The sequence below is a fragment of the Homo sapiens genome, chromosome 3, assembly GCF_000001405.40.
Source record: "Homo sapiens chromosome 3, GRCh38.p14 Primary Assembly".
Classification (NCBI taxonomy): Eukaryota; Metazoa; Chordata; class Mammalia; order Primates; family Hominidae; genus Homo; species Homo sapiens.
The window spans coordinates 169,305,857-169,320,188 of NC_000003.12; the positions used below are offsets into that span (position 1 = coordinate 169,305,857).

Consider the following 14,332-nt stretch of genomic DNA (forward strand, 5'->3'; position numbering starts at 1 on the left):
TCCCAATGACTTACTTCAACTCAGTTTTTTAACCCTGTAACAATGGCAGTTATTGGGAATGTCTCTCCACCTAGACACACATTAGTTGTTAACAAAGATAATATAGAAAAACATATTTTGATTTCAATATTCTCTAGTTTGGTTAAAGATTTTCCTTTTATAAGTATATCTAGGTACATTGTTACCGCTCTGTTCCTTTCAAGTAAACATATTAATTCAATATTACTTTGTAATATAATTCTGATTTAAATATCTTTTATGACACTCATGCACAGGTGTTTAAAGTAAAGCATTATCGAGGTAATAAAAAATTCATGATTATCTTCCTTTGTATAATTATAGCTGAATATTATGCAATAAGTTCAATAGATTTTTATTAATTAATATATACTAAGAAAATATTAATTCAACTGATATTCTCAACATTGCTCATCTCAAGCCTGTGTGATAGATAAGACATATTCATCCCATTCAGCAGATGAAAAATGAAAACTTCCAAGAAATTAGATGACATATAAAATAGAAAGAAGTGGCAGAATCCACAGCTGGGCTCAGTGGCTCACTCCTGTAATCCCAGCACTTTGGGAGGCCAAGGTTTACGGATCACCTGAGGTCAGGAGTTTGAGGCCAGCCTGGCCAATGTGGGGAAACCCTGTCTCTACAAAAAATACAAAAATTAGCTGGACGTGGTGGTGGGCACCTGTAATCCCAGCTACTCAAAGGCTGAGGCAGGAGAATCACTTGAACCTGAGAGACAGAGGTTGCAGTGAGCAGAGATCATGCCATTGCACTCCAGCCTGGGTGACAAGAGCAAAAATCCAGACTAGAACAAGAGCCCCCTGGATTTTCATCCTTCTTGAAACATGCACAGACTCTGAGACACCTCACTGTCCTGGTTTTTCTCCTGCTGCTATGGCTGTATATGTCTGTCATCCTAAAGGGTTTCTTCTTTCTCCTTCTCAAAGTGTGGGCAAGGCCTAGGGCTCAGTCTTCTGCCTTCTTCTCCTCCTTACCCCACAGGGGGTCCCTTCCACTATCACAGCTTTAAATATCATATGGAAGTTGATGACTCCCAAACTCTTATCTCCAACCCAGACCACTTCCTTAGGTGCAGTCTCACATATCCAACTGTCCACTTGATGCCAACATTTGGGATTTAACAGCCATGCCAAGTTTACCATTTGTAAAACAAAATTTCAGATTTATCCATTCCAAACTGGTTTCTCTCTTGATATTTCATATCATTGGGCATGGTTCCATTGATCAAACAATTACCCTAGTTTCCCTCACACTCCTTTACTCCTAACATCAATAATTCTTAGACTTTCTTTCTCCCTCCAAATAAACCTTTAATAATCCCCTTTGCAATCTATTACCATCACTCTAGTTACAGCTGCATCATCACCTCCCTAGAATTGCCCCCTTCAATAGCTTCTCCACACAAACGCCAAAATAATCATTTAAAAACAGAATCATTGTAATCCCAGTACTGAGGTGGAAGGATCACTTGAACCCAGGAATTTGAGACCAGCCTGAACAATAAGGTGAGACTCTGCCTCTACCAAAAATTAGCTGGGTGTGGTGGCATGTGCCTGTGGTCCCGGCTACTTGGGAGGCTGAGAGGATTGCTTGAGCCCAGAAGGTCAACACTGCAGCAAGCCATGATCATGCCACTGCACTCCCATCTGAGCAACAGGGCAAGGCCTCATCTCAAAAGAATAAATAAATAAAAATAAATGCAGCATCATGTTAAGATACATCCTTACTTATAAGTGTAAATGGCCTCCTGTTAAATTTTTAAAATTTAAAGCTATTAATAGGTAACACATTCAAATGTTTCTAAATAAACAAATAGTATAAAAAGATAAACAGTGAAAAGCCTCCCTACCATCCTTGTTTCCCATCTACCTAGTTCCCTCCCACTCCTATAGGGAACCACTGCTCCTAGTTTCTGATGCTCCATAGCAATTTGAATACGACCCAAACATCTTATCCTGGCCACTGAGGCTACCTGGGCCAGATCCTGCTACTTCTCCACTCTCATTTCCTTTCACTCTTCTCCCTACTCATGGTGTTCTACTCCTCTCGCTTTCTTTGGTCTCATGAATTAACCAAATTATTTCCTGATTCAAGTATTTACCCACACTATTTACTTTAGTTAGGTTACTCTTCCCCTTTCTTCTATATTCTCCTGGTCCCCTCCCTCACTGCCATTTCACAGCAAGGTAGATTCTCCTTCACTACTTATTTAGCAAACTGATTACAAGTTGTAATTATACGTAAATGTGTTGACTTGTTCCCTAATTGTCTCTTTTACTAGATGATAAACTCCAGGAGAGCAAGTGCTGGGCCTATGTATTTTACTATTGTGCTGCTGGTACACCAAGTTACTTAGAGAAGGTGCTCAATAAATATTCACTAAAGTGAATCAATTAACACTATCTATGTAAACATTGGGAATGTAATTAAGCATTTCCTGAATATTGGTATTTACAGATACAGTGAGACATATTATATAAATTGGGAGTTATAAGGAACTCCCTCTCTCCAAAAAAGTGAGAAGGTAATGTTCTTAAATAATTCTATGTGTTAAAGAATGTCATGGTTTTGTACACAAGGGCTGCTCTAGGCATAATAAATATTCTATCTACTGTTCAAAAATAAAGGGCAAATAAGAATTACATATTTTGATGTGACATCTTACAACAATATATTTATAAATTTAAAGCCACTGCATATAACTTCATGCATTGTAACAAAATTTATTTGTCAATCGTCACTTAAGAATTTTGTTCATTCTCTTGCACATGCTATTATTTTTTATCCAAATAAAGGTATTTAACTCAACAAAATTTTAGGAAAAAAACACTTTTAAGGGTGAGCAAACTGTTTATTTCTTCTTTCCTTTTTAAAAAAGGGAGTGTCTGATGCTTTGCCCTGAGTGAGCTTGTTATGATCAACTGAATTCTCTCCCCATAAAAGACACGTCTTCCTTCTCATCCTGAGTGTGACTGTACATCGATGGACACTTCCAGACATTTCCCTTTCAGATATCAAAAGGAAGTATTAATCAAACAAAAGATGGGAAATTATGACATTCCACCACTAAGGTTTAACTCAAGTGGCCAAGTTTTAGCTGATCACAGGGTACAGGTGACTATCCATCATATAACCCATCATAACACACATTAAAACGTCTGGGTTAATCAGGACAGAAGCCAAAAATAATATATTTTGCTGACGTTCAATGAAGACTACCAAAGGAATTCCCCTGAAACCGGACTCTATAAACATGCAAGATCTAAAAGAAAAAAGGATATGAAAGGAATTCTGAGTAACACTATTTTAAACAAAGCAGCAGTACATTCTTTTGACAAAAAAACCTAAATGGTTTCTATGACATATGCAAGTTTAAATTTAAAAAATGGTAAAATAATCTCAGAAGTCCATGTGAGTATGCAAATGTATATTTGCATATTTTTATCTTATAAAAATTATCAGAGAATTGAATAAACTCATTCAAGATATATGAATAATATTCACAACCAGGCATAAACTTCTGATATCATCATACACCCATTTTCTTTTTCAGTCCTTTCTTCCAAAAACTAACTTCATCTGGAAATCAATGACAATTACATATAGAGGGAAACAGAAAGCTGTGGGATGTAACCTTAAAAGGAAACATATCTTCTCTTTATTATTAGGATTTTTACAGCTTTTCATTACAAATACTCTCATTTCCTGGAAATGGCTTTATTTCCATATCTGGAATAGGCTTTATTTCCATATCTGCCTCAACTCTTATCTTAAGCTCATATAACCACCCATATCACAGTTTGGGGTAATTCTTGTTGAAGCATCACGGTGTAAGAGATAAAGCACTAACTGGAGAGTCAGGAACTTGAGTCTTGCTTCCCGTTGTGCTACCACATGACAGCACTAAGGCAAACTCATGTCGCCACCTTGAGCCTCAGTTTCCTCACCTGTAAAGCGAGAGTGTGGGCTGGATGATGTCTGCAGACCCTGTCAGGATGTGTGATGCTATGAAGTGCCTTAGAAGCAGCTATTGTGATCACCACGGGCAAAACCAAACATTCCAGCACAGCACACATCAGGACCGGGGAAGAGGCCATTTAAATGCAGGACAAGTGTGGCCTTGGACCCTTTTCCCATTTTCTGTTCATTGACAGACTGTTAATACCCAGTGTTCCTTAACTCTCTGTAACTACTAAAAGTAACCAAAGCACACAATTCCCTTGAGCCATTTTGCAATTTTTTCCAATAACATTGTGTCTTTATAAGATTAAAGACATTTTTTCCCAATTAGAAAAAATCCATAATTCTTTTTCACATTTCACATATTCGTACACATTCAACATCCAGTCCATAAACATGCGCTGAGCACCTATTATATGTGATTCATGTGTTAGGCCTGAGGTATAAAGTAAAAACACACAGTCTCTGCCTTCTTCAGATCACTTATATTCAATTGATCTTATGAAATCGCTGATACTCAGTCCTTTATGACTCACAAAGTGGCTATTCCATGTGTCTCAACCTAATAGTTTTATAGCAAATTGTGTCATCAAACAGGTTAATCTTTCAAATTATCATAGGCATTTTGGAAAGTCCCATTAATTCTGGAAAGTCATTATGATGCTGTTTAGTGATTTCCTAGAGAATTGCCTAGCAAGGTTTTGGTTGTTTGCTTTGATTTTGGCGTGTGTATCTATTGCTGTCACTCTCGTTCAGAAACCTACACTAACAATTATTTGGCTCTTCTGTATTTGTTTCAATGCCTTTTCCATAATCAGTTAATAATTGACTGATCTACAGTCTCCTCAGCATTAATTAGTTATGATGTGCACACCACACACACATGCACACATGCGATGACCTGTTCTCCTTTTAAATCTTAAGTACTTCTCTTTTTCTTCCTAACAGACATAGCTGTGTTCTTTCTCACAGCTTGTCTTCTTAAAAGGATTTTAGACTGCTTGAGAGTAGGTTCACAGCCTATGCTTCTTTACATGACCTGCAGCCTCTATCCCAGGGTCCTGCATGCAGTAGACACAACAAAATTACCAACTAAATGATAAATTAAATTACAAAGGGAGACATCTGATTAAGAAGATACAGTAATATCCAAACATGAAAGCCGTGGGAAAACAGGTATTACATTTTTGCTAACCATGGCTGTGGCAGTTATATCATGCTCTAATGCTGTTCTTCACAATGACTCTTAAAAAAGGTCACAGTATTGAGTTCTTGGGCATGTCTAGCACATCAGAGAGCTTTGAGCACCGGATAATAACTATATTCAATTATGTCAGTTGGTACAAGTAAATTTCCAGCTTTGCCTTAGGAAAGGAAAATATTTATCAGGAAAATGAATAATAAGGCTTGCACTGTGATACAATAAGAGAAAAAAAACTTGGTAAGTTTATACAAAGACCATGGATAGTTCAAAATAGCCAACTACAATAATACTTTCTTTAAATGGGACTTTCTCTCAAAATAAACAAATAGCTGAAAACACCCTAATTTTGAATAACTGTCTTAAAATTTGAATGATATACCTATCTAAGCAAAATCAAAAACACTTCCCCAAATGATTAGCTTGTAGTGCACATATCAATTGCTTTATAGTGCAAGAAATGTCAAATGGCACTAGAAACAATACCATGCTTTCCTGTACAGTGCAAGCATATTTCTTCTTTAGACACAGTTTACATAATACAGGAAATGGCTTCATCTGGTTCCTGGTCTTTTTGATCAAGTCAAAAGCCTTAAAGAAAAAAAGTGTTTCTTTTACATTTTACTCTTTTTTTTTTGTACTTTTGTTTTTCAAAAATTACCTTTCTCTAAATTTTTAAAATGGGAACTGGACAAGGATGGAGAGCAATATCCTCTTAGAAATACTTTACTAAAAGACAAGCTCATGACCTTCTTCATGAATTCTGCAGGTGGCCAGAAATGAGGAGGAAAAAGCCTGTGATTCAAAAAAAAGTTGATACCGTGGTTTAAGATGCAATGTTCACATTTTAAAAAATAATAACCCAAAGGCCTAGATGTAGGGACTATTTGGAGTGTTTGAGAAGCAAGGTGGCCACTGTGGTGATTACACAGGAGTAGGTGGTAGGAGATGAGGTCAGAGAGGAGCTGGGCCCAGACCACGCGGGGCTTTGTGAGCACGGTAGGAACTTTGCATTTGACTCTGAGTTGGGACGCCACTAGAGAGTCTGGAACTAACTTATGTTTTTAATCAGTCACCTTGGTTGCAATGTGGAGAACAGATTATGGCACAACAAAGGGTGAAGCAAGGAGACCAACCAAGTATAGTATACACTGCCTTCATTTGGCAAGAGATGATGGTGATGTTGACCAGGGTAGTGCGATTGACAAGAAGCAGATGACAACTATATTTTTAATAAATAAATTGATGTGATTTGATGATTAATTTGATGTAGATGTGACAGAATGAGAAGAGGCAAGAATGACTGCAATTTTTTTTTTTTTTTTTTTTTGAGTTGGAGCCTCACTCTGTCGCCCAGGCTGGAGTGCAGTGGCGCGATCTCGGCTCACTGCAAGCTCCGCCTCCAGGGTTCACGCCATTCTCCTGCCTCAGCCTCCCGAGTAGCTGGGACCACAGGTGCCCGCCACCATGCCCGGCTAATTTTTTGTATTTTTAATAGAGACGGGGTTTCACCGTGTTAGACAGGATTAGCCAGGATGGTCTCGATCTCCTGACCTCGTGATCCGCCCGCCTCGGCCTCCCAAAGTGCCGGGATTACAGGCGTGAGCCGCCGTGCCTGGCCAACTCCAATTTTTTTTTACCTGAGCACCTAATAGAATAAGGAGGACACTAGGAGGAGCAGGTCTGGGGAGAGAGGAAAAACCAAAAGTTCAGTTCTTGACATGTTAATATTGAGATGCCTGTTAGTCATCCATGTGGGGATGTCAGCTGGTAGTTGGATCTCCAAACGTGGAATTAAAGGGAGAGATCTGGGATAGAGATATAAATTTAGGAGTCATCCAAGTAGGGCTGGCATTTGAAACTGCGACATTGGAAAGAAACACTGCCCTGGAGAATGAGCATGAAGAGAGATGTGAAAAGATCTAAGTACTGAGCATCTGGGTGCTCCAATACTTAAAGGGTGAAAAGAGGACAAGTAACCACAAAAGCAAGTTGAGACAACCAGTGAAATAAGAAGAGAATCAAAAGTAAATGGTTTGCAAGAACTCAAGCAACTAGAGTTTTTCAAAAAAGAAAGAAAGAAAGAAATGAATAACTGAGTCAAAGTGTAAAAGTAAATAGTATAGAATGAGGCCTGAGGATTGGCCATTGGATTTGGCAACATGACAGTAACTGATGGCCCTAAAAAGAGAATCTCTTTGATGATGTGAGATGAGGTTGGGAAAAAAAGAGAAAGTGTAAATTGCAGTGTTTTGCTCTAAAGAGGAGGAGAAAAATAATGCAATAGCTGGAGTGGTAAGTAGGGTCTAGTGAGATTTGTTTTTGAGGATGGAAGATAGCACAGTGTGTTCATACACTAATGGAAATATCTAGCGGGAGAGAAAATCAGATGATACTACAGAGAGAGGGCAGAATAGCTGAAGGATGTCTGCAGGAGGTGAGAGAGAATGGGATCCCATGTACATGGAAGGAAATTCACCTTACACTAGAGCAAGGACACCAAGGACAGAGTGACAGAAGGAAAGGCAGAATAAGAGGGGACAGATACAGGAGGCTTGGTTGATTTGGTGATGTGGCATGTAGATATTTTCATCTTAGTCTAGCTCCTCAGTGAAATAACAGATATGGTTATTATCAGCTGACAGTGAAGAGGGGAAAAGGTATAGAGGTTAAGGTAAATAGAAGAAGGTATAAAATGGTTCTTTAAGAGAGGTGCAGAGGAAGAGTAGGTGGAGAATCAGATCAAACTAGAGCTTGGGAATGGCCAGTTGAGAAGTAAGAGAGGTAAGGATATAAGCAAAGAGTATTCACAAGTGATGGACTATGGCTAACTAGTTAAGACAACTGAACCGGGACAACTGACAGGACCAAACACTGATCAAGAAACAGACTTCCATTTTATCAAGTCACAGAACTTTTGGAATCTATATGCTACCACATCCTAACCTAACAACAAATTCAGAATGTAAGGTTCCTTATGGACCCAGTCCCATCTTATTTCTGACTTCTCATACTGTATGATCTGCTGTACACAATTAGCTACACTTTGCTAGAACATCCAGAGCTTCCTCCTTCCTTGTCTTCTTCACAAGGTCAGCTCCATTCAGCCATTTCTCTTCTTTGGCCATTAATTCCACAATTACTTCACTGACCACTTCCTACGATGGATCAAGAATGAATTGACCATATGGCATAGTAACTGTCTTCCTCCAAAATTGCTGCACAATGCCTGGCACATACTTAGCACTTCTTTATAGATGAACAAATAAATGAACTCAAACATCAGTCATCCATGATCATTTATCTCTAAAGATGGAATGAGTTAAGAGGAAAGGGGATTTATAGCACGTGCATAGTTCACAGTCTCTGCTTAGTCCATGTTCTGCTCCAATGTAACACCATCAATGTCACCTGCTAACTAAAATTAGTGTTTAATTAGTTAAAATAACTTTCCAATTTTTACACTGATTTTCATTGTCTTAGTAATTCTCACAACTACCTTTTGATAGAAAAGTATGAGAAGAAGAAATAAGAAGAGAATGAAGAGAGGACAATAAAAGATGCCCAAGAATGAAAGTGGGAAAGAGAAGAAAAGGGAAAAGAAAGAAGAGAATAAAACAGAGACAGAAGGGGAACTAGGGAAGAGTAAATGGGGAGAAAAAAAAGCAAGCATTGGCCGCAGAAACTGATAGAGAGGAAAAGGCAAAAAGAAGAATATAGGAAAGGGATATTAATTTTAGGGCAACGATATTCTTACTTAAAAAGTGCTAAGGGAAGTTTAGAAATTTCTATGAGGAAGCTGGAGGATTCTGGAATATTTATAGTTATCCCTTATTCTCCTGAATATTTATGAATATTTATGAAGATCAACAACAGGCACATTTGTTAAGTAACTACTATGTGGAAAACACTGTGCAGGGCCCTGTGTAGTTCCCATGCCTTCAATTCCTCTTAACAGCTACTATTATCCTCACTTTACAGATGGGGAAATTGAGGCCCTGAGTAACTTTCCAAGACACAGAGTGAGTGAGATTGTTGATCCTCAGACCCAGTGCCACCCACGCTGCTTTTGCAATCCAGATATGCCTGCAGAATAGGGTGGGTTCTGAGCCAGCTGACAGGGCTTTCCCACATCTCCCATCCTCCCAGGCCAAGTCCAGAGGGCAACTGAGAAGGGCGGCAGGGGAGCCACCAAAATCAGCCCTGTAGTCCTTGACCCTAGGAACCTAAATGTGAAACAGATGGGACCCAGACACTCATCCAAGTCTCACACTGTCCTGTTTGGCTCTTTTCACACTTCATTCGGATATATCTGTTTATTCTTTGTAAAATACAGTTGTGCTCATGAGTTGAGAATCAAAGTACACAGACCGAGACCTTTTCTAGAGATGTTTGGCCTCCTTCTTTAGCAGCAAAGAGGATGGGAAAGAGACAAATTCAACCATCTTACTGGTGACTGGAAGAAAAGTTATTAAAAAGTTAACAGCTTTGTGTCTTTGCATGTTAGGTCTTTGGACAGCATTTTCTGGGAGTGTATGTAACAAGAATAATAAATTCATGGCCATATACTACCACAGTTCCCTCCAGCCTCAATAGTAATCAGTACCATGGGATCTCAACACATTGTCACTGAACCCAAAGAGCGCCAGATTAAAACCAGTTTGCAATTCCTGTATTCCTTTGTAATAACAAAGGAATCAAATATCATCTAGCGATGGCATATATCTATTCCATGAATGTTACCAGTTAACCAAAATTATACAACATTGGTGTAATGTCACCAATGTAATGACATAGATATATTTCATTGCTAGATGCTATATAAAGGCATAGCCCCATAACATAAAAAAAATTGCCTAACACAGGTAAAGTCAAATATGAGCCTAAATATTTAACAATAAAGTTATTTGTTCTTTGGTCAATAATTATTTTACCAACATATTCAACAAGAGCCTGTGCTTTCTTAATTAAAATTAGAGTTTTAGAAACTAATTAAAAAACAATAGATTTAAATTGATGAATACTAATGCTTCTGTAATTCACAATAATGTTTAAGGCCAGGACAGAAAATAGAAAACCATTTGACAGGGCCTGGGCTAAAAGCCATGGATGGCATCCACTGTTTAGTGTTGTATAATTTACAAACTTCTGTTCTTTCGACAACTCAAAGAATGAAGTTGCCAAATAAACACACAGCTCAGAAACAACGCAGAAGAATTAAAACACCCTCTCACATCTTGTTAAAAGGTGGTGGCCTTAAATAAAAGAACAGTATCTATAAACTGCTTGCCAAAAATACCCAGATACTAAACAGTTTCATTATAAAACTATTTTAAATTTCTCAGGATGCATTTGAGGGTGAGGCAGTCATATCAACAAAGTTTGATGATTTTATATTGTGTCTATGGCTATGTAAAATGAGATAAGGGGCACAAATGTCCCACAGAGAGGAGATCTCATATGCATTCACATATGTCAAACATTTGTCACTTTAAGAAAATATACTTTTTTTAAGACAGGGTCTCATTCTGTCACCCAGACTGGAGTGCAGTAGCATGATCATGGCTCATGGCAGCCTCGACCTCCCCAGGCTCAGATGATCCTCCCACCTCAGCCTCCCAAGTAGTTGGGAATTATAGGCATGTGCCACCACATCTCACTAATTTTTGTATTTTTTGTGGAGACAGAGCTTTGCCATGCTGCCCAGGCTGGTCTTGAACTCCTAAGCTCAAGTGATCTGCGTGCCTTGGCCTCCCAAATTGCAGGGATTATAGGCATGAGCCACTGCGCCCGGCCAAAAGACATATACTTTTAATCAAGTTTCATTACTGTGTGTCATTAGTTAAAAGAAAAATCCTGCCCATTATTCCTCATTTACATCTGTCTATCTTAGAATTCTCATTATATTGGCAATCACAATACTTGGTAAATTAGATCAAAAAGGGCATGATTCCAGAGATAAGAAATGGACTTAACTATTTCCCAGCGTGAGGGACCTTACAAAGAGTTTATTCAACAGTTTTCTTCACTTATTACGGTCCTCAGAGCAATTAAGTCCAGGGATAAGGGTTTCAGTGGTATCAGCAATATTACTGGCTTAGAGTTGTTATACGAGTTGTATTTGTTTTATAGAAACTCCTTGCCAATTCTTACATTAAAGTTAAACAAATCACTGAAATGATAACACTCAAAACGAATTGAATGATACTAAAAAGTTTCAAAACTCTGAGTTTTCAGAAAGGTTAAATAGCTTTAAAAATGTGGCTGGAGGTTTTTTTCTTTAATATGACAATCATTATATGATACTCAAGTTATGGTTAATATCCTTGAAAAAAAAATCCTTTTGTCAACTGGTGGTCTGTGGCTTGAGACTTCACTGAAAGGTTTCACTTGAAAAGGCTATGAAAACATCAGCCACTGATCCAGAAGTTCTCAACAGCTCAGAGATGTAAGGTCATTCATAATTGTCTCCATCCTTCTTTCCTCTCTCCAGAGTATAATTACTTCAAGAAACGAAATCCTGGTTTATTTTACTGAAATCCAGAAACTCACTACTTACATAGCAACAGCTACTTCCCTTATCTCTGGTTTAAATATCCACAACTGTCACCACTCCTAGGACAGTGACTAATGCTTAGTGGGTCTAATTTTTAGAACCTACACAATTTAAAAATATGAGCTACCATTGACTTTCTTCACAGAATTAGAAGAAAATGCTTTAAATGTCATGTGGAAGCAAAAAAGAGCCCGTATAGCCAAGACAATCCTAAGCAAAAAGAACAAAGCTGGAGGCATCATGCTACCTGGCTTCAAACTATACTACAAGGCTACAGTAACCAAAACAGCATGGTACTGGTACCAAAACAGATATGTAGACCAATGGAACAGAACAGGGGCCTCAGAAATAACGCCACACAGCTACAACCATCTGATCTTTGACAAACCTGACAAAAACAAGCAATAGGGAAGGATTCCCTATTTAATAAATGGTGCTGGGAAAACTGGCAAGCCACATGTAGAAAACAAACTGGACTCCTTCCTTACACCTTACACAAAGATTAACTCAAGATGGATTAAAGACTTAAATGTAAGACCTAAAACCATAAAAACCCTAGAAGAAAGCCTAGGCAATACCATTCAGGACACAGGGATGGGCAAAGACTTCATGACTAAAACACCAAAAGCAATGGCCACAAAAGCCGAAATACATAAATAGGATCTAATTAAACTAAAGAGCTTCTGCACAGCAAAAGAAACTACCATCAGAGTGAACAGGCAACCTACAGAATGGGAGAAAATTTTTGCAAACTATCCATCTGACAAAGGGCTAATATCCAGAATCTACAAGGAACTTAAATTTACAAGAAAAAAACAAACAACCCCATCAAAAAGTGGGTGAAGGATATGAACAGACACTTCTCAAAAGAAGACATTTATGTGACCAACAAATATATTAAAAGAAGCTCAACATCACTGGTCATTAGGGAAATGTAAATCAAAACCACAATGAGATACCATCTCATGCCAGTTAGAATGGCGATCATTAAGAAGTCAGGAAACGACAGATGCTGGAGAGGATGTGGATAAATAGGAATGCTTTTACACTGTTGATGGCAGTGTAAATTAGTTCAACCATTGTGGAAGACAGTATGGCGATTCCTCCAGGATCTAAAACCAGAAATACCATTTGACCCAGCAATCCCATTACTGGGTATATACCCAAAGGATTATAAATCATTCTACTATAAAGACACATGCAGGGCTGGGCACAATGGCTCATGTCTGTAATCCCAGCACTTTGAGAGGCCTAGGCAGGTGGATCACCTGAGGTCAGGAGTTCGAGACCAGCCTGGCCAACATGGTGAAACCTCGTCGCTATTAAAAATACAAAAATTAGCTGGGCATGGTGGTGGGTGCCTGTAATCCCAGCTACTCGGGAGGTGAGGCAGGAGAATCCCTTGAACCTAGGAGGCAGAGGTTGCAGTGAGCCAAGATCGCACCACTGCCCTCCAGCCTGGGTGACAGAGTGAGACTCTGTCTAAAAAAAAAAAAAAAAGACACATGCACATGTATGTTTATTGCAGCACTATTCACAATAGCAAACACTTGGAAACAACCCAAATGCCCATCAGTGATCGACTGGATAAAGAAAATGTGGTACATATACACCATGCAATACTATGCAGCCATAAAAAGGATGAGTTCATGTCCTTTGCGGGGACATGGATGAAACTGGAAACCATTATTCTCAGCAAACTAACACAGGAACAGAAAACCAAACACTGCATGTTCTCACTCGTAAGAGGGAGTTGAACAATGAGAACACATGGACATGGGGAAGGGAACACCACACACTGGGGCCTGTCAGGGGGTGGGGGGTAGGGGAGGGATAACATTAGGAGAAATACCTAATATAGATGACGGGTTGATGGGTGCAGCAAACCACCATGGCATGTGTAAACCTGCACATTCTGCACATGTATCCTAGAACTTAAAGTATAATAAAAAAAAAATCAGCACACCACTCTTTAGTGTCTATAATGAATTGGTCATATGGAAACAGATGTTAACGGTTGGGAAGAAGAGAGAATTGTGTAATGGAAAAATAACAGAGTTTATTTTGGAAATGAGAGTCTTAGCTCCATCATCAGTAGCTGTGAGAAAGTGGGAAAGTTATCAATCTCTCTTCTGCCCTATGTGTAAAGTGGGGAAATGATACCTACTTCAGAGGGTTGTTGTGTGAACTAAATGAGATAAGGTATAACATGACTGTGGACACATGGGTGATAGAACCTCAACCAGTTAACTGTCTTGGTTAACAAGATGAGAGTCAAGAAATATTTCAAATGTATAGCATCTTATTAGAGGTGGAGAAGGAGCTTGTAAATCACCTAACCAGACCCCTTCACATGTTCAAAGGATTTAACAAGAGGTCGTACGGTGACTTTGCCCAGAGCAATTTCAGAAGAGTAGTAGAGATAAGACGATTGTCTAGAGAAATAATAGTAGATAAAGAAATGGAGAAATGGATGTAGACAATCCTTTTAAGACGTGTGACGATGAAGGGAAGGAGAGAAAAATAAGGGATTGGATGCGGATTTTAGAATGTATGTGCCTGTTAGGTCTTTTTAG

The 14,332-nt window shown here is 38.7% G+C and overlaps 1 protein-coding gene across 6 annotated transcripts in view, besides 1 other annotated feature; it reads right to left on the reverse strand.

Annotated features, from left to right (window-relative positions):
• MECOM (MDS1 and EVI1 complex locus) overlaps positions 1-14,332 on the reverse strand; it is a 580,206-nt gene that overhangs the window by 222,350 nt on the left and 343,524 nt on the right. The gene's annotated exons all lie outside the window — the stretch shown is intronic.
• Positions 3,464-4,663: an enhancer, noted in NCBI's record as "P300/CBP strongly-dependent group 1 enhancer chr3:169027108-169028307 (GRCh37/hg19 assembly coordinates)". NCBI's record gives its function as "activates an origin of replication core promoter dependent on BRD2, BRD4, P300/CBP, MED14 and CDK7 cofactors, with strong dependence on P300/CBP, by STARR-seq in HCT116 cells {active_cell/tissue: HCT116}" and the evidence as "EXISTENCE:reporter gene assay evidence [ECO:0000049][PMID:35650434]".